The sequence below is a fragment of the Homo sapiens genome, chromosome 1 (assembly GCF_000001405.40).
Source record: "Homo sapiens chromosome 1, GRCh38.p14 Primary Assembly".
Taxonomy (NCBI): domain Eukaryota; kingdom Metazoa; phylum Chordata; class Mammalia; order Primates; family Hominidae; genus Homo; species Homo sapiens.
Window position 1 is genome coordinate 168,008,821 of NC_000001.11, and position 27,498 is coordinate 168,036,318.

The window sequence follows — 27,498 nt, forward strand, 5'->3', positions numbered from 1 at the left end:
AAATTCTGCCCTGCCCTGCCCTGCCCTCCCCCGCCCCACCCCGCCTCCACCCTGCCCCCACCCCCTCCCCTCCCCCCTCCCTCCCTCCCTTCCTCCCACTTGCTTGCTTTCTCTCTCTCTCTTTCTCTCTCTCTTTTCTTTCTTTTCTTCCTTCTTTTCTTTTCTCCTTCCTTCCTTTCTTTCTTTTTCTTCTTTTTAGACAGAGTCTTGCACTGTTGCCCAGGCTGGAGTGCAGTGGCGTGATCTCGGCTCACTGCAAGCTCTGCCTCCTGGGTTCACGCCATTCTCCTGCCTCAGCCTCCCAAGTAGCTGGGACTACAGGCGCCTGCCACCATGCCCGGCTAATTTTTTATACTTTTAGTAGAGACAGGGTTTCACCGTGTTGGCCACGATGGTCTCAATCTCCTGACCTTGTGATCCGCCCTCCTCGGCCTCCCAAAGTGCTGGGATTACAGGCGTGAGCCACTGTGCCCTGCCATTTTCTTTTCTTTCTCTTCTCTTCTCTTCTTCTTTCCTTCCTTCCTCCCTTCCTTCCTTCCTTCCTTCCTTCCTTCCTTCCTTCCTTCCTTTCTTTCTTTCTTTCTCTCTCTCTCTTTTGTTTCTTTCTGTCTCTCTCTCTTTCTTTCTTTCTGTCTCTCTCTCTTCCTTCCTCCCTCCCTCCCTTCCTTCACTTCTTCCCTCCCTTCCTTCCTTCCTTCTTTCCTCCATCCCTTCTTTCCTTCTCCTCTTTCTCCTTTTTCTCCTTTCCCATCTTTCTCTCTTTCCTGTCTTTTCTTTTCTTTCCCTCTTTCCTTCTTACACTTTGTTCTTAGTGTTATTCTCTGTATGCTTGGGAAGCCCTTGTCCTGGCTTATCACTTGGCCAACTTCCTTTTCCTTGAGTCTCAGCTCAAATGCCATATAAGACAAGTCTTTCATAACTACCCTAGGTAAAGTCCTCTTTCCTTTTTCTTCTTGCTGAAATTTTATTCTCTTCTATATAACCCTGTTTATTTTGTGAAAAGCAATTATAAAAATTTATAATTTTCTTTTACTATGATAAGCTCTCTTGAAGACAGGATATTGTCTATCTTGTTGTCTCTGAGTAAGCATCTTTTTTCCCCAACAATATTCACCCTCTAAAGATACGATTAAAAGTGTGATGAGACATTTTGTTATCTTTAAGCTGATATAGACTAGATAGGGTATATTTAGCTTTATTTTAGTCTTTAGATTATACTTTTAGCCCCAGTCATTTACTCTGGCTGTTTCCATTAAGTTTCCAAAATTTGGTAACACCTAGAAGAGAGATGCTGTGATTAGCTGTCTAACCATTTATCATTTTGGATCCATTGTTTGCCTTTGACTGTCTAGACCACATAGGACTGAGTAGATAATTGTTCTTAGGTTGTTCTGAAGACATTTTAAGGTAACTTACAGAAATACTTTAAAAAATTGTCTCATTATATATATATATATTTGTTTGTGCTTTTTCACTCATGTATATATGGGTGAATATGGGTATGAAAATAATTAATTGAAGCAGTGAGTGAGTTGAATACGCAAAATGAATGCCCTGAAGAATGGTAAATCTAGAGGGGTCACAGTGTTGGCTTTGGAGTTTTGTAGCTAAATTAGGAAGGTAAGTAGACTGAAATGGAATTTAAAATCAGTTGATGGATTTTTTTTTTTGCTTTACCCTTTGTATTCTTGAATTTTATTTTAATTCATATGTCAGACCATTTGAAACCACGTTCTATATACCTCGCCCAGAATTTGAAGATATTTTGATTTTTATATATCTTCTTTTCTTGAACATTTAACAAAAGACTGCTTTTTAAAATGTGATTATAAAATTATATGTTTAAAAATGAGAAAGATACGACCATGAGCTAAAACTGTATAGGTTAAAATGAAATCTTCATAATTTTATTTATAAAAAATATTTCAAAATAACTATGAATATTTTCTTCTCAGTAAGGCCTATCAGACATCTCTTTCAGTTATTTCTTAAGTTAAGCCTAGAAATGTTTTCATTTAGTTCATGATTTGTAAATTATTCTCATGTTAAGAATCTTTTCATAATGAAAGAGTATTAAATGAGGCATTTTTCCAAGTGTGCTATTTAATTTTTTTCTTTGGTTTCATTTTAACCTATTTAAAGAATATGATTTAGAGAAGCTGGTAACTTTGAAGTGGATGGGGATATCAGTATATATAAAATTCACCTTTAGGGCTCATATTGAGAAGTGAATCACTTAAAGCTTCCCTGCCCTGTGTTTTTAATTAAATAGACTACTCAGACCATCAGAATTTTTTTTTTTTTTTTTTTTTTTTGAGATGGAGTCTTGCTCTGTCACCAGGCTGGAGTGCAGTGGCGCGACCTCGGCTCACTGCAACCTCTGCCCCCGGGTTCAAGTGATTCCCCTGCCTCAGCCTCCTGAGTAACTGGGACTACAGGCACATGCCACCATGTCTGGCTAATTTTTTTTGTATTTTAGTGGAGATGGGATTTCACCATGTTGGCCAGGATGGTCTTGATCTCCTGAGCTCGTGATCCACCCGCCTTGGCCTCCCAAAATGCTGGGATTACAGGCGTGAGCCACTGCGCCCGACCCAGAATTTTTTAAAGATAGCATATGATGTGGTCTGTGTGTGGATTCTTGCTTATTTAGTCATAAACAGGAATTACAAATTTATTTTGGCCTATGTAGAATTATTATAGCTAAATTGAGCTTTGTAGAAAAATTGCTGGAGAAGAACTCTGTTGTGCACCATATCAAAGCAAACCTTTCAAAGCCCCAAATCCAAATTATAGCTTCCTTAAATGGGATAAAGGTCTAGTCTAGTCTAGTCAGATAGATATAGGCCATTTATAGGTTAGAAACAAGTGGAGAGACCAGGTGTGGTAGCTCATGCCTGTAATCCCAGCACTTTGGAAGGCCGAGGTGGGTGGATTACCTGAGGTCAGGAGTTTGAGACCAGCCTGGACAACATGGTGAAACTCCATTTCTACCAAAATAAATTTGTTGTGCGTGGTGGCATGTGCCTGTAATCCCAGCTACTTGGGAGGCTGAGGCAGGAGAACTGCATGAACCCAGTAGGCAGAGGTTGCAGTGAGCCGAGATCACTCCATTGCACTCCAGCCTGGGCGACAGAGTGAGCCTCTGTCTCAGAAAAAAGAAAGAAAGAAAGAAAGAAACAAGTGGAAATATTAGGTCAATGGCCATTTTTGGGGAAACCAAAGAAGAGAACAGAGAAACATGGAGGTCAGTGAAGAAGTGACCAGTCCCAGGAGAAAAAATGCACAAGGATCATTACCAGGACAAGAAATAAGTTGGGACTAGAAGACAGATTTATAGCAGGCAGATAAAGTGCCACCAAATTAGATATAAAAATGATCCAGAGTCCAGGACAAAAATACTGTATGTATTGTAGAGGCAGGATGTGAGGTTAGAACCAGGTGGACCTTTGTTGCGTCAACTGTAGCTGTTTTTGTTGTTCTTCTGTCTCACTGGAATTAAGTCATTAGGAGAATAACCTGTAATCTTTCAGAAGAAAACAAGAATAGGGTTTGTAGTTTGAGGAGATGACAAAGTACAATTTTCCTGTGGCAGTTTATAATACCTTGTTGAATTTTTATCATCGTTGTTTTTAAAATTCAACCCAAGGTATTTATTGTATTCAATTTTCAGTTTGGGTCATGTTGACAAAAGCTAATTCTCCAAGCATTTATCTACATTTATAAATTATGTATGTTTGTGATATCTTTTTAAAGGATGTAATATGTGTGTATGTTGACTGCTTTAAAATTTCAAGCTGCTAGCAGAACTGTTATTTAGTCTGTTATGTCTGGTTGAATTTTTTAATTCAATACTTGCTTTTCCTAGTTAACAGCTATGTGGTGACTTCTCTTCTGAGCCTGATTTTGTTTTTAATCCAAGGAGAAAAAAGCCACCATACAAGCAGCTTTCAAAGCAGATAAATTCTTATTTAAAAAGCACCGGAAATATTGAATAAATGGTTCATAAGATTATCACAACTAAATCTTGATTTTTTTCAAGTTTTAGAGCATCACTACATGTACTGAGATCTTGCTGTTTGCCACTTCACCAAGTGGGTTCTGGGATGGAGATTTATGTCTTCATAAAACATTTGGTAACTCAATAGAGAGGGTTGACACTCCAATGAAATTGATGGTATTTTTCTGCTTTTTTAGCAAAATTTGACATATATGGCCTCTCTCATAGATTTCTTTTGAAGTGTGAAGTGACAAACTTTATGGCTGTATAATAATGCTTTATTTTATATTGCTAAAAGCATTACTATTATGCTGACTATAAATAAGGTGTCTGTACCTACCTGAAAAGAAAGCAGTATGCCACTGAGCATCACCATTTGTTTGTCAATGAATACTACCCTATTGGTACTGGATCATTTTCTAGGAAGAACTAACAGTGAGTGAGTATGATGTTATGAGTTATTAAATCTTAACTACCAATTGGGTAATTGAATAAAATGCTTTATAAATAGAAACCATCGTAACAAGAAATTAGTACCTGGCGTTATTGATTTCTGAAACAGTAAACCAAATTTTTTACTCTTAGTATCTGGAGAGGCTGAAAGTTTATTTGGTAGTTTGTATAATTTCATGCTAGTGTCAGAAATTCTCTATGCTCCTACCACCAAATCTCACTATTGACATCTCTGTGCATATTTTCTGCCTCCCTTTGATTATAATTAATGAGGTTTTTATGCACCTATTCAAAACCAATTCCTCCTCTGATACACTGGAACTTATCTCCTTTAGTTTACTCAGGGACATCATTCCTGTGGTTTTCCGCTTTTTTTTAAGCATCATCTTTCTCTCTCCTTCAGTTAAACATTCTCCATCAGAATACAGACGTGTGTATTAGCTCCCAAACTAAAACCACAAACTTCTCTTGATTATTATTATTATTATTTTTTGGTGGGTCTTCCTCTGTTGCCCGGGCTGGAGTGCAATGGTGCAGTCGTGGCTTACTGCAGCCTTGACCTCCCTGGCTCAAGTGATCCTCCTACCTCAGCCTCCCGAGGGGCCACAAGTGTGCATCACCATGCCTGGCTAATTTTGATTTTTTGTGGAAACAGGATCTCACTGTGTTGCCCAGGCTGGTTTCAAACTCCTGAGCTCAAAGTGATACTCTCGCCTTGGTCTCCCAAAGTGCTGGGATTACAGGTGTGAGTCACGGTGCCCTTCCTGCCTTCCCTTGATTCTTTATAACCCTGACAATGATTATCCAATTTATCTGTTCTCCACTAATAGCAAGAGTTGTACAAAGAATATATATACTTTGTGTCTCTACTTCATCACCTCCCCTTTCTCTTAAACCTGCTGCTATCAGATTTTGGTCCTTATTATTTAACTAAAATAGCTCTTGTCGAGGTCATCAATGACTTCCATCATACAAAATCCAGTGATTAGCCCTTAGTATCTCTTTTAGTATACTAGCAGCATTTCACACAACTGCTTACTCCATCCTTTTTGATACAATTTCACGACTTAGCCTACAGAGCTCTGATCATTCAGTTCTCCAGCTCTCTCTCTGGCTTTTCCTTCTTACTCTTTCTAGAGGTTCTTTTTCCTCTTAAACATTTGACTGCCTCAAGATTCAGTTCTTAGACCTCTTCTGTGTCATCCCTTACTCTTTAGGGGACTTAAAATGACATCCAAATTTATATCTCTGAATTGTAGACTTTTGTATTCAGTCCCTACCTAATTTCTCCACTTGGATGTCTATTCATTCTTTCCCCCAACACTACTTGTTTCTCCATTGTTCCCTGCCGTAATAAATTGGTTACTTGTTTTTCCCGTTACCTAGGCCAAAAACTTTGGGATCACTCTGCATCCAAACTATCAGCAAATTCTACTGCTTTTACCTTTAAAATGTATTGCACATTCCTATATGCTTTCCCCTTGAGTATTTGCACTTGCTCTTTTCTCCACCTGGAACACTCTTCCTCCAGGTATCCATGTGGTTTACTCGCTTATTTCCTCGAGGTGTTTGTTCAAGTGGTGCCTTATGAGAGAAGCTTTCCTGAGTTGCCATATATAAAATAACCCTTGCCCTGTCATCATTATTCACTATCCCCTTTACCTTACCCTGCCAATTTAATTCATAGCAGTTATCCCCACGTGACACAAACACATATGTTCAACATCATGTGTGCCTGTGTATTCGCAAATGTCTTTTTCTCTCAGAACATTAACTCCACAAGAATAAGGACTGTTTTGTTCAATATTTTATTTATCCCTAGAGCCTAAAACAATGCCTCATACATAGAAGACATTCAGTAAATATCTCTTTGCAGAATTTAATGTTATTTTTCTACTTTTCATCTGTGATCACTTCAGATAAAGGTTAAGAAAATATTGATTATGTAAATCTTTTTGAACTTAAAAAATTTTTTAAAATGACAATTCTAACATGAAATATTTAGCTGAAGAATATATAACTCACTTTTTTAGAGCTCTTCTCAATAAATTCTGAGTTGTTTCTAAATGCATAAGTTTTTATCCTTTTAATTGAATTTTGTTATTTGATTGAAATTAACAAAGCAGCTTAAATTTTTGTGTATAAATCAGATGAGTTAACTGATTGTTTTCAATTTCTGTTTCTTTCCTAGTATCATTTTGTTCTATGTTCATTTTGAAATCTTTTGCTTATGGAGGACTTTTTATTTCCATTTGGTTTAATTACTTAAATATTCCTAGAGAAATATATGTATCTAATTCATCGTAGTTAAATAGAAGCATTTGGTTGTATATGTATTGTCTCATAATTTAATGACCAGTAATTTTTTATCAGTAATTTGTTTATAGTATTCCTCTATGAGACATGTGTTTTGTTTATATCCTTCTTCTTTTTTAATGTATAATCAAATTCTTATTATTTTCTATTTTATTACTGTCTTTTCACCTTTCTTTTCCTATTTGTGTCAGAATTTTTAAGGGGCCCTGAGATAGCTTTGCTTCGTAAGCGCCTGCAACAACTGAGGCTTAAGAAGGCTGAGCAGCAGAGGCAGCAAGAGCTAGCTGCACATACCCAGCAACAGCCTTCCACTTCTGATCAGTCTTCTCATGAGGGCTCTTCACAGGACCCTCATGCTTCAGGTTATTAATGTCAAGTGTCCTTAAGCAGCTGATAGAATTGTTTTTTAATACTGCTACTGTGTAATAAGGTGCTTCCCTTTTCCCATTCAAAAAGAGAGCTAATGCGCTTGCAGCTTACCCCTCCTTTCCTTGCATATGGGTGGTATTCAACATCACGTGTTAGGGGGACAGATTGGCAGCAGCATCTGCCAGAGAGGTGAATATAAAATAATCAATTTTAAAAGTTGTAATATATTTGGAGAGGGGCAAATATTTATTACTTTTAAAGCTGATGACCTCTTTTTGAATAATTAGTGAATTTAGAGCCTGCATTGATCTTTCTATTGAAAGTTTGCATATGCTGAAATGAATCTATGCTTTATGGCTCCTAGCTCTTCTTCTTCTTCCTCTTTGAATGTTAGCCAATATTCCTAAAACCTAGTAATGCTAGATTTTAGAATTATAGTATTATTTGGCCATACTAGCATGCTGACTAAATTATTTCCTTCTGTCATTATTTGAAAATTTTCAATATTTGCTTTCTTATTCCTCTATACGTAATCAACTTTCTGATGTGTAGGGCAGCAAAAGTACTCCACAGTCTCATGTTCTTATTATGCTATAAAACTGTGATAACATAGTAAAAATTGTCACTCTTTTTTTCTCAATGAGTGTTTTAATGCCCTGTCATCTTATGACCAGAAAGTTCATGATGCTCAATAAACATTTGTTAAAAGAATTAATGAAAGATATATTAATAGCACAAAATAATTTGTCAACTTAGTTATTTCAAGATGGGTAATAGATACTGTAAATCCTATAGTATTATATAAATACTATAGTAGGTATAATAAGTTATTTAGGAACAAGAATGTCTAGGTTCTCATACTAATCAGTTTATAATGCTTTGTTTGATATGCTTTCTTCTGCTACCCTAAAGAGTGATGAGTTTGGGCTTTGAGAGTTCTAATTTGATTATTTGGAACTAATTTATATATTGGTAGAATTGGACAACCTGCACTTTATAAATATCTGTTCTAGTAAGTGCTGTGGTAACAAAAGCACATTTTATATGTGGTAAAATTAAATAAATTTAAGTCATTGTAATATAGATATGATGTTTGGGATAAATCATAAACTTTATTTTTAATTCAATGTTATATTAATAGAGGGAGTATCAGGCAGAGGCCTCTGATTTTTTTTTTTCCTATGGGGAAATATTTTCCTATACTTTAACAATTAACAAGAAAATTTGACCAGATTACAATAATGACATTTAATAATAAAACATTTTTGTTTTTTTTTTTGCTGTATATAAACGTCTAGCAAACATGTTTTGAAGGTTAAAAAATCATGAAACCTAAAAGTCAATAGAAAGAAAAATAAAATGTCCCTACGTATATAATTATTTTTAAAATACTAAAATTTAGCAGATTACAAACTTAGTATTAAAATGATCTTGAGTATAAAACAAAACTGTCTAACAGGAAAGAAGTATACATTGTAGATGTTGGAAAAATATTTTGAGATTCACTAATCTTTTGTAACTAGTTCACGGATTTGAATTGAAGCAAGCTCTTTTTAGAATCAGAAAGCTTTAGAGTGAATGTGTGGTTTCTGTGAAGTAAGATGCTGTCTTTCCAACTCTTAAGTGTTTTCTAATTAAATATCTAGTTTGGCAACAGTAGAAATTAAATTTATGAAATTCAGCAGGAGGGTAGGTTTTAATTGAGTAACAATTATAAAACTTTATCTTATACATAATAATTAAATGCAGTTTTGTATATGGACATTAATTGATTCATTCTTTTATGATAGATGTTACTACTATCTACCCATACAGAAAGCACCAAAATTAGCCTCCTAGATTTTAATTTATTAATAATAGAAGAATGTGCGTTTCTCATATGTAAGAAGCATATTTTTCCTTCATACTTTGGTATCTTTAGAGTATCAATTAGTGGTGATAGTGCCAGTAAAACATATTTCTGTTGTCTTCTCACCTATTTAAGTGTTTTAGCTATAAGATGTTCAAAGGAGACATTACTATGATTTGGAAACCAAGAAATTTTAAAAAGTATAGAAAGAATTTCTGCATTACATTGTTTGGCAACCATTTTATTCTCTTTTCAAAATATATAGAACTCATGGGAATATTCTGTGAAATCAGTAATACCTAATTCCTGTAGGAAAGTTAGATCAAACCTTGAAACCACTTTGTAGAAATAATCACCTACATTTTTAGTGGGCTCAAATGGGAAGGGGCCTGATGCTGGTTTAGGATAATCCCAGATGGAATATTATCTATTTAGTTGCTGATATTTCTTGGCAATTGAAGACTAAAACACCATTCTAAGGCACCAAATGATATCACCTTAAGTTTCAAACTGTTTAAAATGAGCTGTATAAAATAGGTATTAGAAGATGTTAAACAGTGGTTTTTTATTTATTTTTGGTTGTTCACTCTTTGTCATCAGTCTTATGTGGAAATTCCAATAGAAAGTATATAAAAGTAGCACTGTTGGGACTTAAACATGAAACAAGGAGCGACTACCCACCTGCTTGCTCCTCCTGCTACCCCTAAAGCTCCTCTGCTCCCTGAAGCCCAGTTTGAAAATCAGTGCTTTAAAAGAATTTTTGACACCTGTAAATGATAATTCTTTAGAACTAATTTCCAAAAATATGGTTTTAAAAAATTAGAATATATCATTTAAAAATATTTTCACTTGTTAGTTTTTTAAAAGTATATCTTTTCTAGGAAATACACCACAACTCATTTAGGAAATACACCATAACTTGTTTTCTAGACTTTTAGGAAATATGCAGGAACTCATAAAATCCTTAGCAATTTTTTTTAACCAAAAAGAAATGAATTTGCCTTTATCACATCAGTGCCTGGGAATTAGATTGGCTGAACTCTTGTCCCTGGCTTTATGACTAGATGACCTTGGGCAGGTCATTTGACTGCTTTATGCCTCAGTTTCCCAATTATTGATTTATTTAGATAGTGTAGCTTGCTGTAATTTACAGAGACCATGTAAGGATGGGTTAAGGCAATACAGTATATATGAAGTTACCTACCTGAGGAGAGCAGTACACATGATAATGTACTCTCTCTTTTTTTTTTTTCTTTTTTGAGATGGAGTCTCGCTTTGTCGCCCAAGCTGGAGTGCAGTGGTGCTATCTTGGCTCACTGCAACCTCCACCTCCCGGGTTCAAGTGATTCTCTTGCCTCAGCCTCCCAAGTAGCTGGGATTACAGGCATGTGCCACTATGCCCGGCTAATTTTTTGTATTTTTGGTAGAGATGGGATTTCACCGTGTCAGCCAGGATGGTCTTGATCTCCTGACCTTGTGATCCACCCACTGCAGCCACCCAAAGTTCTGGGATTACAGGTGTGAACCACCATGCCCAGCCAATAATGTACTATCTTAATTGTAGTATGTTGTTTGCTACTTAAAAATGTCCTCATATAAAGGCCCCCATAAGGTTGATAGCATTCAGGGTTTTGAATGAGCTATATGTACATGTATCAGATGAATGTCCTAAACAGGTATGGCAGAGGCATTCAGCATATGGCTGATTTTAAGCCCAACTCTTTTTTTCCATTTCAGGTCCCCTGAAGTCATGGGTTGCTGGCTCCTGCTCAGAGTGACAGCACCCTGTGGAGTCTGCTGGTACTGACCTAACCACCACAGAGCCCCACTGGAGCATGGAGCCAGCCTAGAGAGGGTCAGGTAGGAACTGTTTTTTCACTTTATGGCACGGTTTTACCAATTGGAAAAAAGTAATTTTTATACCCCAAAAGGGTGTAAAACATTGGTGATTATTTTTGAAAAAGGGCTTTTCAAAACTGAGCCATATTGGAAAAAATCAGCACTTACCCGATCCTGTGCAAGCAGGCTCTAAACAACACCAGATTTCCCACAGTGTCCATAATGACAGTCACATGGCAGCACTTCTCAGATGGATGCATTGGATCTATGTGTTTGATGTTTATAAGTAGTTAATAAATTAGATATATTAGTCTGGTTCTGCCAGCAGTCCTTAACTACCTTGAATGACAGAGTCCAAAGCAAAACAGTGATGAGTCTTTTAGAAGTTTAAACATAATACGCTCCAGATGTTTCAGAACAGCTTTGTACCATTATTTTTCATTCAATACCATATGTCTGAAAAATAGGCAAGTAATGATAAACATTAAATGACCCATTCCTATGTGCTGTCTGAATATTTTACATGGATTATCTCATTACATCTTCAGAAGAACATTATGTAGTAGATATTGTGATTATCCTCATTTTACAGATGGAGAAACTGAGACTTAGACAAGTTAAATAACTTGCCCAGGGTTACAATATTACTGAGTAGAAAAACCACATTTGAACCCAGGAAGTGTGGCTGAAGAATTTTTGTGATTTACCTGTTAGACTATAATTGTCTATTTTTTCTACAGTGGAGATAATTCTGGTGTCAAGGGGCTAAAGAATTTTCTCAAGACCAAACAACACATTTTTTGGAAATACACAGTAATTGACCATGAGACATGCTGAGCTTAGTACTGAGTGAGCTTTTGCTTAAAGTGTATCTTTACCTTAAAAAAAAGTTACAATTCTAAACACTTCAAATAAGCTGACCAACCATATTACATGTTACAATAAACTACCATTGGACCATATATTCAGGTTTTTAGTTTGTGATTATATTCTCTAGAAGGTATTTCCCAGAGAGGTAGAGTAGAATATGCCAGTAACTGAGGCAGTCAGCTTAAACTAGTAATTACTTTTTTAAATATTAGCTATTCTAATGGTTATTATGTTAATATTTGAAAATATTTATGTAAGATAGGAGTTCTAGGTATTGTATTTATGAATAGTGGTTAAAAAAACATGTCACTTAAAATGTTCATATGATAGGAAAATAATCCTTCCCAAAGGAGTTGTGTGTTCCCAAGATTACAAATAGAATGAAAGCAGTGACCAGGAAGGATTTCTTCATAAAATTAATCTTCAAGATGGGAGGAACAGCAAATGCCTCAGAAATACACAATGTCTATGGCAGAGTAAAACCAAAAAGGAAACCCTTTTAGTTTAATACTTTCTGTCTTAACATAGCTTTAATATTTTAAATACTTCAAGAGTTTGAAAATAGTTTTGTAGAGATGACAGCATTCTATATCTTTCATTAATAGTTTTTTCCCCGTGACTTATTCTTTCTTAAATTTTATTAAAAATAAGATGCATTTTATCTGAACAAGATTTGTACATTTCATGGTATTTTTTAGAAAAAATAAATGTTTGAAGATAAGATTTCTTGGAGAGTTTATAGTTTTCTTACGGCTCTTAAATTGTTAAATGAGGGCATAATGAAATGTATAACAAATCCAAATGGATGAAAAATATTTTTCACAGATTTTTAGGAGAGTTTCCCAATATTTATTTCACTGTGAGTCACATTTTTCTTGTTTTTTTAAAGAGTTTAATTTGTTTTCTAAAGACCAATTTATCTGTTCTTTAAAAACAACATAGATGGTAGTGTTGAATCCAACTGTGAAATGGATAAATGAGAAGGCATCTTAAGAAAGTAAAGCACGAATAGATTAGGGAACTGATTGAAATGCTATTGTTCCCACTTTCTTTTTTGTGTACTAAAGATTTAACTGTTCTGATGAAAAAGTGATAAGTAAGGATAAGTAAAAGCTGTTATTCAAATAATGATCATGTTTTGTCAAAATCTAGTAAGAGAAAAATACATGAACAAACTGGTGATACTAGAAGATGGAAGATTTAAAGTTGATTGAAATGGTACCACTAGCAGGATTCAGACTTTTAAATGTACAAATGCAAGCAATCAAATCCTATAAAATCAATGTGAATCCAGGATATATTGGAAAACTCAGCTATCCAGCTAAGGGCAATCTTAAAATACCTACTTTTTGGGAAAAATATGCCATTATGAGCAGAAACTGGTGTTGGCCAAAAGTATTTTGTTAACATTTGCTAAGAACTAGAGCACAGGATATTAGAAACTGGGAATTATTCTTATTGGTTGGGGAGAGTTGCGCTTATTACCTATGTTTCTCTTTTACTGTAGCCCTACTGGAACACCTATTCCCCAGTGTCTTGCTTAGGTTACTAGATCCCCAGGCTGATTAGAGAGTAAGGAGAAGCTTGGGCCTAAAAATGTTGCTAATTACTGTCAGAATCAAGTTAAGAATTAAAACTTACTAACTTCTGATGAGTGCTCTTTCCATTTTATTATGCTGCCTGCCTTAATACCAGTGTTTTTCAAACAGTAGAAACCGCTTATAAAGTAAATTCTTACATAGAAACCCAGCATATTAAAAAGATAAGAACGAAGCTGTTCTATTTGAAGCCAAGGTAGAAAGTGTAAAGCCCAGATCATTAAGTCTTCTCTGCCTCTCTTTTCCTTTCCCTACCAGGTAACGCTAAAGAAACTTGAGCCTTTACATAGTATAGTTTTAATATGCACAATATACTGTAGAGTTTTTAAAGTCATGCATGTTTCTGTAATGATAATTACCTCATTGAATATTTTTCTTATAAACCATTTTCTTTGTATAAGATCTTGATGTTAGCTCCTTGTTCAGCCCACAGTACAGCAAACAACATCTCTCAAAGTATAGTGAGCATTTCGTTTCATGCTTCGAATCCTCCAAGGCAGGATGAAAACCATCTTAAGGAGCTGGAGAGGGAGTTTGAGAAGGGCAAGGAGTCTTGTGTAGTGAACTAGATACCCCATTTCTAATATATCTACCTTGCACCTTGTGCCTCTGGTATACGAATTTGATAAAAGGTGTATGCATGGAAATAGAAGAATAGTTTCTCAACTCATTCTCAAAGTTACTAAATGCTTGCCTGGAATAACATATCTTAAGCACATGGCCCTGCTTACTCACTGCTTGGGAATCACACCACAGTACTTACTTCTATTCCGCAGCCTTATACATTTGTTTCTTAAGCTTAGAGATGATCATGACATTGCTGTGCAGTTTTCTGCTGCTTACTTTTAAGTTGAAATCTCATTTTTGTTTCAGATTCTCCTTCTTCTGTGGTTAACAAACAGCTCGGATCCATGTCACTTGACGAGCAACAGGGTGCGTGCAACAGGAGATGCGCTATGCCCATCCATCCATAGCTTTATTGCAATGCATATACTAAGCTCTCTCACACCTTTCGTAGCATTTCATTTTGATTATGGTCTTATAGTCAGTATTTTGTGGACCAAATTACAATAGGTGGTATTGTACATAAAAGGTCTTTTTGGCCTATACAGATTATTTTCTATGTAAGCTCATTTCTCACTTTGGCCCTTGATGCCAACTTTGAACTCTCTCCCTATAACAAAATTATAATGGATACAAACTATATCCATTTTTTAAATTCTAGGTATCTGTCATAAAATTGTGTAGAACTGTGGGTGTGAGGTTAATACTACCTCGTTGCTTATGTAGGATAAGTTATTTAAACACAGTGATATTCTATATTACTAGATTGCTTTAGTAATGATACTTGGTTTTATGTCTCACTTATCTGGTAGCCAAATTCCTGGTAGCTTTAACTAAAGACTATAGTTACGAACCCAGAGGTAAGCTCAAAAGCTGTCAGTCAGAAGCTCCCACTTCCACTTGTACTTTTCAATGTGGGAAAGGTATAGAATCAATCTCCAAGCCTTGAATAGAGCCTGATGAAATGAACGCGTTACTTATTTATCAGGCTTTATTACTAGCGATCAAATATAGCACAGAGAAGGATTAGTAGAGGAAGACATTCTGACATGAAGGGACATCTGAAAAGGCTGGAGATAGGAAGACTAAAAACTAAAAAGGCTATTTAGTGTTAGCGCAAATGTTTTACTATCTCACCTCAGAATTTAATGAAGTATTTTAAATATATTGTGACAAAGTGTGATAAGTAATCTTAGTTAAGTCTTTAAGAATGATTTAACACGATATTCACTTTCTCTATTTAAAAAGGCAGATAGCTGGACGTGGTGGCACACGCCTGTAATCCCAGCTACTTGGGAGGCTGGGGCGGGAGGATCACTTGAACCCAGAAATTTGAGACCAGCCTGGTCAATATAGCGAGACCCCGTCTCTTAAAAAAAAAAAAATTAATTAGCTGGGTGTGGTGGTGCATGCCTGTAGTCCCAGCTAATAGGGAGGCTAAGGCAGGAGGATTGCTAGAGCACAGGAGTTCAAGGATCCAGTGAGCTATGATTGTACCACTGCACTCCAGCCTGGGTGACAGAGTGAGACCCCCATCTCTTTAAAAAAAAAAAAAAAAAAGAACAGAAAAAAGGCAGGTGATTGCCTTTATATATTTTACAAATGTTCCTTTCAAAAACATTTTTTAAAAAATTAGCACTAAAGCCATAAGATTTGGTTGACTGAAAGTTTACATATTAGATGACTCATATGTCAATAGTAATGCAGAAATTAAATATTGCTGTACTTACTTGGTGTGAAATATATGTAATTTAAACTATATTCTTAGAGAAATATTCAGAAACTAATTTTAAAGTGAATTAGAAAACTTCTTTTGTACTTCTGATCTTAAATTATTCCTTATGGGGCCAGGCGTGGTGGCCCACACCTGTATTCCCAGCACTTTTGGAGGCCAAGGCAGGCAGATCACCTGAGGTCAGAAGTTTGAGACCAACCTGGCCAACATGGTGAAACCCTGTCTCTACTAAAAACAAAAATTAGCCGGATGTGGTGGCCCGTGCCTGTAATCCTAGCTACTCAGGAGGCTGAGGGAGGAGAATCGCTTGAACCTGGGAGGCGGAGGTTACAGTGAGCCGAGATTGCGCCATTGCACTCCAGCCTGGGCAGCAGAGTGAGACTCTGTATCCAAAAAAAAAAAAAAAAAAGATTATTCCTTATGGACCTGAGGTGAATTTCTGATCTTAAATTACTCCTTATGGACCTTAGATGACCTGTATTACTATAAGGTTTTCTGTTCTTGAGAAAGAAAGAATGAATGAATGAATTGGTAAATTAATTTGCAAACTAAGGAATTAAGCATGTGTTATTTTATATGTTTATTACAGAGGTATTAACAATGAAGAATAATTAAGGCAAAATACAACTATAGCCTACTATATTAGACTACTGTATATAACTACTCTATAATTAAAGGATTTTTTTTCTAAGGATATATGGATTTAATAATATATCACTATCAGAGATTTTATAGCCAGATTTATATTCTAGTTAATCACATACAATAATTTTCATAGCATTACATTTAATATTATATTCAATTTAAGTTGATAATTTACATATGATATGGGATATAAGAGGAAGAGAAAAATTATGATTAACTCCCAGATTTTTTACATCAGTGCCTGGGTAGGGTAAATGATAAGGCCATTTACTAGGGTTGAGTAGCTTGGAAATAGAAATCAGGTGGTTCTTTATCTTTTTGGCTATGTAAAGTATGATATACATTTTAGTCATGTAAGTAGAGTTGCTATGTAAGAGGTTAGTATTGAGTGGCTTTGGCAGAAGCTGCACCGTAGTAGACTATCAGAAATGTAGCTTTGTAATAAGACCTCTGAGCAGAAATGTTCTAATGGTGGAAAATATATCTAATTAATTAAATCCTGAGTTTTTACATACCTTTTTGTTCATCAGCATTATAACTTTTAAAGTACTAGGAACTTCACATTGCAGGCTCACATTACCTAAAGATAACTTCTAAAAGTTAATAGAGACTGCCCACCACCATTTGTCTCTCCTAGATTAATGGAATAATCCCTTTACTAGTCTTCTCACATCCACTCAGGCTATAGTCTATTCTCTACCGGCAGCCAGAGTGAAACTTCAAGATGTAAATATAATCATGTGATTCATCTGCCTAAAACATTTTAATTACTTCCCATAGCCTTTCAAAAGAACCCAAATCCATACCTTGGCTTACAAAACCTACATGACTTGATTTCTGTATCTCTAATCTCGTCTCAGGCCACTATCCCATCATTCACTAAGCTCTTGCCAAATAGACTTACTTTCATTTCTTTTACATCCCTTGTACAGGCTGTACATCTCTTGTACATGCTGTTCCCTCTACCAAAACTACTTTTTTGTTGAGCAATTTCTACTCATTTTTTAAACTCACTGAGATGTTACTCTCAAAAATAATATAACTTCACAATCTCTAGTAAGTCTCCTCTTTTTCTTCCTTTGTGACTTGTTATTTTTCCTCATTGCATTTATCACATTTGTAATCATACATTTATTTAGGGGATTGTTTAATATCTACCTTTTTGCATATTCTCTAAATATTTTCATTTAATAATTTCCTCTATGCCTAAAATCATACATCATGTGGTAAATAATATTCGTTAAACGAGTGAGTAAATGAATTCTTTAAGCAATTATTTAAGAGCTGTAGGGATTACTTCAGCTTGGGAGAAATGTGATCAGATTTACATATTGGAAAGATCATTTTGGCAACATTATAAATGATTGGAAGGAGTAAGATTGAAAACACCAAGAACACGTAAGAGGCCATTGCTATAGTCCACCTAAGAGATTATGAGGGATCCAACCTAAGGCAATAGTGGTGAGAAGTGGGAATGGACAGATTTTAAAAATAGTTGAAAGGTTGAATTCATGGGACTTTGAGACTGATAAGTTAGAAATGAATGAGAGTATGATAACCAGGTGTCTTGATAGGGTGATAATGAACCATCAGCCAAGATAGAGACTTTAGGAGGAACAGCTAGCTGATTTGAGGGGAGAAGAAAGTATGTGAGTTTTTTTTTAATGTTAAGTTTGAAGTGTCTTTGGATATCCACGTGGAGAGATCTCATAGATGGTTGGATGGCTATATGATGCTGGAAGTCACCAAAGTGATCTGAGGTAGAAATAAAGGTAAGGAATCATTAGTTTATAGATAGCAGTTGAAACCATGGGAGTGGATGAGATTGTCTAGAAAAAGAGGGTAGTGTGAGAAGAGTAGAGTGCACTACAGGAGCAAGTAGAGAAAAGGATCTAGCTAATGAGACCAAACAGGAATGATGAGAGAAGTACGCAGGGCAGAAAGAATGCCATATCCAAAACCAGGAGAAAAGAAGTGCAAGGAGGGACAGGTTAGTAATGCCATGTAAATCAATGATACCAACTCCCAGAAAGTCTGATAAATCATTTTTTAAATTTGGCAACGTGATTGCTTTGACATTGTAGTTTGAGATATGATGTAGTGGAAGCAGAAGCCAGATAGTAGTGGTTTGAGGAGAAAGGTTTGGGGGAAAAAGGTAGAGACTTTGTTATGTCTCTTTTCATAAGCCCAATTAAGAATTGAAAGAGCAAAGATAATGTCAGGTATAGGTGGTGGTAGGTTCAAAACTGAGCATGTTTATAGAGTAAACAGATTGTGTGTTCAAGATGTAAGGGATAGTTGATGTCCCCAGATATGCTATTATTTCAAAATTTTAACCTTTACCAAGATTCTTGTTCTCAGTTTTACCATGGAGAATGGAAAAAGTAGTACATTTAATAAGTTTCCTATTTGAATATATCTCTGACTAATGATTATTTCAGCATATTTTAAATTTGTTTTTCATACTTTTAACAAAACACGAATGCTTTTTAAAAATTGATAGTTCAGTTTTATGTTTATGTCACAAAATATTTCTTCACCATTTTCCAGGTGCCCAAATCATTTTATATGTTGTTTAATTTTCCATAGCATTTTCATAGATTTCTTTACTTGGAAGGATTACCAAGGACAAAAATGTTACTAATAAATTTTTTTAAAAATTTTAGTGGACTTGGTTACTGAAGAAATTTTTTTCTTTGAATAACTGTATACACAGTATTAAACTGGTTGAGTGCAACTGGTGTCTTTGCTTATTTATCCTGAATTTTTAACAAAATCACAATTTGATAGAAGTATGTTTAGCCTGAATCTTCATTCATTAATGCAGCTCCCTGGTTGTCTCAATAGTTTTACTTTTTTTAAGAAACAAAATTGTAGGGAAATAAATGTATAACATGCACATTGTTATTAATTGTATCCTATTATAAAATAATTTTCAGTGTTCTCCAAATTTGGAGTTGTGTGTAAACACATTGATGGCCTTTCTGTGCTAATTATGCATAAAGTGAAATTCTGTTTGAATAAGCACAGTAATGTCCATCATGCATCTTGTTTAGTTTCAACAGTATGTTTTAATGGGTAGTTTTAGTTTTCCTTTTTATCTCTCTACTATAAGAGGAAAAATTCTCTTCTGACATATATTTATTTTACCTTGTTTATATTATTAAAACTTAACAAATTTTTCCTCTTAAAAATATGTAGGCCAGCAATTTCCCCCTTATTTTATTTTAAAAAATAACAACAGCAAAAAGAATATGTAATTGTTGTTTTGAGAACAGTTAACTTTTGAGAGGATATAAGAAAGTAATTTTGTCTGAGTTTTAGGTTTTGGCCATGATTGAAACAAGTTGCTTTCTATTCCTTACAGTGATTCCATTAAGTGGAAGTTGACAGTGCCATCGAGTTTGAAACTTACGTCTGTAGGCAGTTGTGCATCTGCAGGCACTAATTTTCTGTTATAGATTTAAAGAAATATAAACACTAATTTGTAGGTATGAAAAATATCAATGTTAATTTTCCACTATGTATCATTTTATATAAGCTGACTGTCTTTGATGTTTGTGAAACATTCATCTATAGGAGACTAGTGGATAATCAAAAACCAGTGAAACAGATTTTTACTAATTCTACTAAGGTAGATTGGGAAATGGAAAAGTTGGACCTGCCATGCATTAAATATGTATTACCTTAAGATTATATACTATCACCAAATTGAAATTTCATTTTAGTACTATTATCTAATATTATTTTAAACATATTGACAATTCTAATTTTTATTAAATAAATATCTAGTGATTGAAGCTTGCTGTATTAATAAGAATATAAGTTCAGTATTCCCCACACTGGAATACATCCATAAATAGTATATTTTAAATTCTAGTGAAATAATAAGTTAGTGAAATAAAATTTCATTCTAAATTCTTTGTATTTCTTAGAACTAGTTATCACTTAGTTACTTGGAATGAGGTAACTAATTTCTTCCTATCCCCAACTACTAGGTCTTGATTGTTCCAATTAATGATATATTTGATCTTTTGGAAGTTAAACCCTATTTAATTTTTTTGTTGCATATGCTCGTGTGTTCTACTCTTCTGCTGATCAAACCTATACCTCCAGTTTGTTTAACTTAGAATTGTCTTATCATAAAAATAACTGACATTTATTGAGTTTTTTGTGACTAGCACTGTGTTAAGAATTTAACATGCATCATCTAATTTGTGCTAACAATGAGGTGAATTATCTTAATTTTACTAATGAAGAAACTGAGACTCCAAGAAATATGTAAAGATGAGTGAAATAAGTGGTGGAGCCATATTTGTATGTCTGTACTTCATTAATTCAACTGATACGTAAATGCCTACCTACCTTGTGGCAAGTACTGGGATAGGTACTAGGGTGCATGAATAAATAACACTACTGTCTTCTGTACTGGGAGCATTGAGTTGATTTATAATAATAACAGCAACAACAACATAAGACACTTAATACCACATTTTCTTTGTACCAAACATTGCTTGGAGCAATTTTTTATATGTTAATTTACTTAATCCTTACCACAACCATATGTAGTTGGTGCTATTATTACCCCCATTTTTCAGATGAGGAAACTGAGGCAAAGGGTGGTTAAGAATCATGTCTAAGGCCGGGCGTGGTGGCTCACGCCTGTAATCCCAGTACTTTGGGAGGCTGAGGTGGGCGAATCACGAGGTCAGGAGATCGAGGCCATCCTGGCTAACACAGTGAAACCCCGTCTCTATGAAAAACACAAAAAATTAGCCAGCTGTGGTGGCGGGCACCTGTAGTTCCAGCTACTTGGGAGGCTGAGGTGGGAGAATGGCGTGAACCCAGGAAGCGGAGCTTGCAGTGAGCCGAGATTGCACCACTGCGCTCCAGCCTGGGTGACAGAGCAAGACTCCGTCTCAAAAAAAAAAAAAAGAAAAGAAACATGTCTAAGGTTGCACACAGCTAGTAAGCGTTAGAAACGTGTCTCAAACCCAAGAGGTCTGGCTCTGGCATCCGTGATCATAACCACTTGCTTTGCCTGATCTAACAGTAAAGATGGATGAAAAAATAAATCAAGTGTGATGAGTGTTATATAAGAAAGGGGAAATAGCAGGGTTCAGTGTGGAACATAGGAGAGTGGGCCTTCATTCCCTCCAGTTGAGGGCCAAATAAGGCATCCCTGAGGAAGAGACATTAAGCTGAGATCTGAAAGGTGAGCCTGAATAAGTTAGGTGAAGGAGCATGAGTAAAGGGAAGCATGAATAGCATATTGCAGAGCCTCTGAGATGCCACATACAGGATGACTAGGAGAACCTCAGTATGCAGGACAAAGTGACTTTTTGGACATTTTTAGGTTTCGCATTTTTATTTTAAGAACAGAGGGAAGCTAATGAAGTGTTTAAATTAGGGAGTATGGCTATGGCCTGATACTCTGAATGGAGTATGGAGAATTGATTAGAGACTGAATCACTTACGAAGTTCTCCTGGTAATAGAGATTTTGATCTGGTGATAAAAGTAAGGTAGGAGAGATGTGAAGAGATTCAAGAAATATTTAAGATGTAGAATAAACAGGACTTGGTGGTAGATTGAATGACACAGGGATTGAGGAGGAATCCAGAGTATAAGTTGCAGTAACAACTTCAGAATTTTCTTATGTAGATAGTTTAGTAATAAATAGCAGTCTGCAGAGGCCAGGACTTGTGTCTTAAATCTTTTGTAAAACAAATACACTGTTTTTACTTAGGTTATACATTTATTTATAGTGCTTTGTGGGAGGTACTGTTGGAGATTAACAGGTGACTTTTTCAGCCACTGCAAGAGTAGCTCATGTTTTGATTGAGCACAACTAAGTGAATGGCTATTTTCTTAAATAGGTAGCCCTGGAAAAGGGATGAAGCATGGGCGGGGACGTGTAGGGGTAGGTGATCATGAACTCGGTTTTGAATATATTGAGTTTGAGTTATCTGTATGAGATACCCAAGTTGAAAATCGGTTGGGTAGTTGATTGTGTGGATATAGAGCTCAGAAAAGATATCAGAGCTCAAGAAAGAAATTTGGGAGATTTTTGCATACAGATGTTAACTGAAGCCATGAAGTTAGATGGAATTTTAACTAGGATGAAAGTAGAAAGAAGAGGACAGAGTAAGAGAGCTAAAACATCTCAAGAAAAATCAGAAAAATTCTAAAATTAAAAGATTTTGCCAGCGAAGAGCTGGTAAAGGAGATTGAGAAGAAGCAACTAGAGAGGTGGATGGCGACATAGAACAGCGTGGTGTCTTGTGATCAAGAGAAATTTTCAAATACGAGAGTGTTGTCTGCTGGAAGGTCAAGTAAATTGGCTCCAAAAAAATTATCCCCTAAGTTAGGCAATGTGGGAGTGATTGAGCCCATTAGTAGAACACTTTCACTAGAGTGATAGAGACATAGGCCAGATTTTAGAGCAGGAGACGAAAAAATGGAAATGAGAAGAAAAGCAATTCAAAACAATAAGCTAGGAGGACAGTAACTGGAAGGAGAAGTTGTTAAAGGGAGTGTTCTCCTAAACTGTCTACCTCATTTGTTTTCACTTGGAAGTCACATTTTAACTTGTTAATTTATCTACAAAATGAGAGTGTTATTTATGATAGGCAGACTTGATTTTTTTTTTTTCCAGTAAAGGAGAATATACCTGAGGAAACAGTCATGAAAAGAAATACTGGAAAAGGATTTTGGCAGGACTCATGTGCCACATGGCGTGGGCGTATTTACTTATTTTCATTCTATACTGTCCTCCCTCTAGACTGAAAGTGAGATAGGAATAGGAGACGTTTATGAATAGAGGTATATAAAACTACTGGTTCTGAAGTAGGAGAAAAGGAAGCAAAGGTCAAATGGCTACCACATTTCAACCCATAAATTCTAAATACTGGTAGGAATGTGGAACCAAGCACAGTTTCAATCTAAATGTATCGAAATCACATATTTAAGTTCAATTCACACTTCTATGTTATGTCATGAAAAAAGTTCTTGGGTTAAAATTATTATAATTGACATAGAGTTGAGTTGTGATTGCCAGAAGAAAATTTGACTGAATGTTAAAAAGATTAGAGAGAATGGACTTCCTAATAAATATCTGTACTAAAATTGCACTTTGTTTCGTTTTGGCTTGCATAGTATCACTTCTGTTTTATAAAGCCAGATTTGCACTAGTGTAAGCACTCAATTTTTAGAATGAAATGTGTTGCCTCACAGTTATCTGTAGGGTAGATAGATCTTCTCTGTTAGCAGTCTACTCCTAGAAGCAGCATCTCCACTTTGAATCCAGATATGCTTCCTTATACAAATAGTTGGAAGGAGAATTGGAGATCCTCTAATCTGGAATCTACAAAAAAGTTGTGGATTCCCTGACCTATGAACATGGAAAATTTTGCATTGGTTTAAAAACTGTGGTTGAGAAATTTGCCTTTTCTATACAAGTCTAGTAAGTTGGAGTGCAGAATGTGGGGAGATAGTTAAACTTTATTATTTTTTCAGAATATTTCACCATATGTTTTATTTCGACCTTACTTTGGTTTTTAAAAAATATTTGGTATAATGAAGTGGGAATTAGAATATCATTATATAATCATACACACATCGTTATACAATAGAAAACTCATTAGGTAAACAGTGTTTTATTTTCACATGTTCCACAGCTTATCTAACTACTATAGTTAATTAATGTATGATTATAAAGTTATAATAGGGACCCAACAGCAGAGAAAAATGTTGGGCATGGTGGTTCTAAAGAAATTATTGTTGCTATACCCTAGTTAATTATCTTCATTTTGAATATTTGGTTTAGATTTACATATGAGATAGATTCTCCAGGGGTATCCCAGCTTAAAGTCTGAACGTCCTTATTAGTATTTGGATATTTAGATCTATACCAACATTTTGAACAGTATTTAAATATATAAAATACTCAGCATTTTTTTTTTTACTATGGTTATCACATGTGTTTTTGTATGTCTTTGAGCATCTTTTAGAACCTCATGATTATAATTTCGTAGTGGAAATGTACAGATTAAATCATTTCACAGCGTGTGCATTACAAAAAATAGTTACTTTGTGATTCTTATGCAAAAGACTTGAAAGATACCTAATTAAATACATAACAGTTCAAGGAAACTGCTTTCAAATTATATTTCAGCTTATTCTGAATTTTTTTTCTGAGCCAATGCACTATCCTGAGAGGTCTCTAGTAGCATTTCTGAAAAGGATCTTTTTTTTTTTTTTTTTTTTTTGAGACGGAGTCTCGCTCTGTCGCCCAGGCCGGACTGCGGACTGCAGTGGCGCAATCTCGGCTCACTGCAAGCTCCGCCTCCCGGGTTCACGCCATTCTCCTGCCTCAGCCTCCCGAGTAGCTGGGACTACAGGCGCCCGCCACCGCGCCCGGCTAATTTTTTGTATTTTTTTAGTAGAGACGGGGTTTCACCTTGTTAGCCAGGATGGTCTCGATCTTCTGACCTCATGATCCACCCGCCTCGGCCTCCCAAAGTGCTGGGATTACAGGTGTGAGCCACCGCGCCCGGCCTGAAAAGGATCTTTTAAGTTGGTTTCCTGAATCTCAAGTTACGGACCTTTCACTTCTAATCCCCCAAAATGAAGTCCTTTACAGTCTTTTATCTTGATGTTTATGTGGTCATTGCTGTGCTTCTGAAGCATGTTTCAAATAAATGGTAATTTGCCTCCATAGAGACCACTCTAAGCTGCTGATGTCATCAGTTGTTCTTAATAACCATAATTACTGAGCAATATAGAATCGCTATCTAAAAACTTAGCAGTGTTGAACAAGTTAAAAGGGATTTTTTCCCCACTATATTGTGTGTGTGCTGAGCACACTACAAATAAATATTCTCCTGTAATGTTTTTAGAGGAAGAAATAGTTCAGTCTCTTAAGTGCCCTAAAAGAAGATACAACATAGTTTTCCTATACTATGATGCCAAAGTGATAATTTTGGCTACCAGAACTCTTAACCAGTTATTAATGTTGTTGATATGAATTATTTATTTCTGAGGAGTAACAACATCAACAATTGATATTTCTTAATTAAAATAGTTACTTATCTAAGTAATCTTATTTTTGTCTTTGTAGTCAGATTATTTCTAAGATTGTATATTAAGTAGGAACTTCATATAAAAAGAAACCTCAGCGGGCACAGTGGCCCATACCTGTAATCCCAACACTTTGGAGTGCTGAGGAAGCAGGATCACTTGAGGCCAGGAGTTCAAGACCAGCCTGGACAACATAGTGAGACTCCATCTCTAGAAAAAATAAAGAAGTTGGGCATGGTGACACACACCTGCAATCCTAGCTACTTGGGAGGCTGAGGCAGGAGATTCACTTGAGCCCAGAAGTTTGAGACCACAGTGAGCTATGAAGGTGCCACCACGCTACCGTGGGTGATAGAGCAAGACCCTGTCTATGGAAAGGATGGAGTGGGGGAGGAAAAGTCCGTAACTAGAGAAAAAATTAAGCTTATTGTTTTCAGTTCATCATCTGTAAAATGGAGATGACAATACTGATTACAAAGATTTTTTTAAAGGAATGTATATATCTTGGCACACATTTATAATTGATGTATATTCATAGTAATGCTCAATAAATTATAGTTATTAATATGATAGCTTTCTACATAAAGCTATTTGTGTGTTTACTTGAAGTTCTAAACCTTAAGGGTTTTAAATAAAAATCTACCTTTTAAGTAACATATCTGTGCATTATGTAAATAAGACTTTGAAAAATACAATTTTTAGAATGTGTTTGCTGATCCAACCTCTGACAGAGAAGTTGGGAACATTTAAATAGTTACAATTTTTTTTCAAATAAAGTAAAAATATTTAATTTTTAAAATCATTAAAGTAGGTTTTTCTTAAGACATTTGTAGTTTAGAATATGCATTTTATCACAAAGAGTGAATGCATTCATTAGTAGTCCAGGAATCCTAATTCCTGAGAAAATGTAACCTGATAGGTTGTATATGACCAAGCAAACTAGAATTAAAGAAGACAGTGAAATGGAAAAAGGCTAGGAGATGAATTTAAACCTTGGAATATATACTGTCACTAATACTGCAGTTGGGCCAAGTGCGGTGGCTCACACCTGTACTCCCAGCACTTTGAGAGGCCAAGGCAGACGGATTGCTTGAGCCCAGGAGTTAAAGACCAGCCTGGGCAACATGGCAAAACCCTGTTTCTACAAAAGTTACTACAAATTAGCCAGGTGTGATGGCATGTGCCTATAGTCCCAGCTACTCAGGAGGCTGAGGTGGGAGAATCACCTTAGCCTGGGAAATTGAGGATGCAGCGAGCCATGATTTCGCCACTGCACTCCAACCTGGACGACGGAGTGAGACTCTGTCTCAAAACAAAAACAAAAACAAAACAACCTGGAGTTGAAGAAACCAGGTTCTTCATTGTGTTGTCTTTCTGCCAGAGACACTGTTTACTTAAGTGTAGGCTACGAGGAAATAACTACACTCAGGGACCTGAAGTTTTTGTGACTAACAGAAGAGTTCATGTTATTTTTATAGTAATAGGCTAGTTTTACACAAGGCTGATGAATTCATTAACAACTTAAATGAACAAATTCTATCAACTATAATCAATCATTTTATGATTAAATGAATATTACCAATATTTGACATGTTTTGTAATATGTAGATTATATTCCTGAGAGATTAAATAAGAACTCTGTAGGCCGGGCATGGTGGCTCATGCCTGTAATCCCAGCACTTTGGGAGGCCGAAGTGGGTGAATCACTTGAGGTCAGGAGTTCAAGACCAGCCTGGCTAACATGGTGAAACCCCATCTCTCCTAAAATACAAAAATTAGCCAAGTGTGGTGGTGGGTGCCTATAACCCCAGCTACTCTGGAGGCTGAGGCAGGAGAATTGCTGGAACCCGGGAGGCGGAGCTTGCAGTGGGCCGAGATCGCGCCATTGCACTCCAGTCTGGGGAACAAAAAGAGCCTCCATCTCAAAAAAAATAAAAACAAAACAAAACAAAAAAACTTTGTAGTAGATACTGTAGGAAGAAAGTTTTAATTATCATTAACCATCTTAGAAAGCTTCTTGCCTTTGGTGGGGAACCTGTATAAATGTTTTCTGCTCTGTTCTGATCTCTTAATAGTTTGTGTAATATATTCCTATAGTCATAGCATGTAGATATCTATAACTGTCTCTTAAATTTTCCTGAAAAGGAAAGTTTTCATATATCATTTAAATTCCACAAGGCT

General features: G+C 35.7%; 1 protein-coding gene across 25 annotated transcripts in view; it reads left to right on the forward strand.

Annotated features, from left to right (window-relative positions):
* DCAF6 (DDB1 and CUL4 associated factor 6) overlaps nt 1–27,498 on the forward strand; it is a 212,261-nt gene that overhangs the window by 145,245 nt on the left and 39,518 nt on the right. For 7 of the 25 annotated variants that reach the window (XM_047425194.1, XM_017001779.3, NM_001198956.2 and 4 more), the window contains 2 exons: nt 6,961–7,131; nt 14,168–14,227. The exons of 10 other annotated variants lie outside the window; for them this stretch is intronic. In XM_047425194.1, the coding sequence (XP_047281150.1) occupies nt 6,961–7,131; nt 14,168–14,227 (231 nt within the window). Of the gene's footprint in view, nt 1–6,960; nt 7,132–10,724; nt 10,848–14,167; nt 14,228–27,498 lie in introns of all 25 variants that reach the window. 8 more of the 25 variants (NM_001349774.2, NM_001393651.1, NM_018442.4 and 5 more) reach the window with 2 other exon arrangements.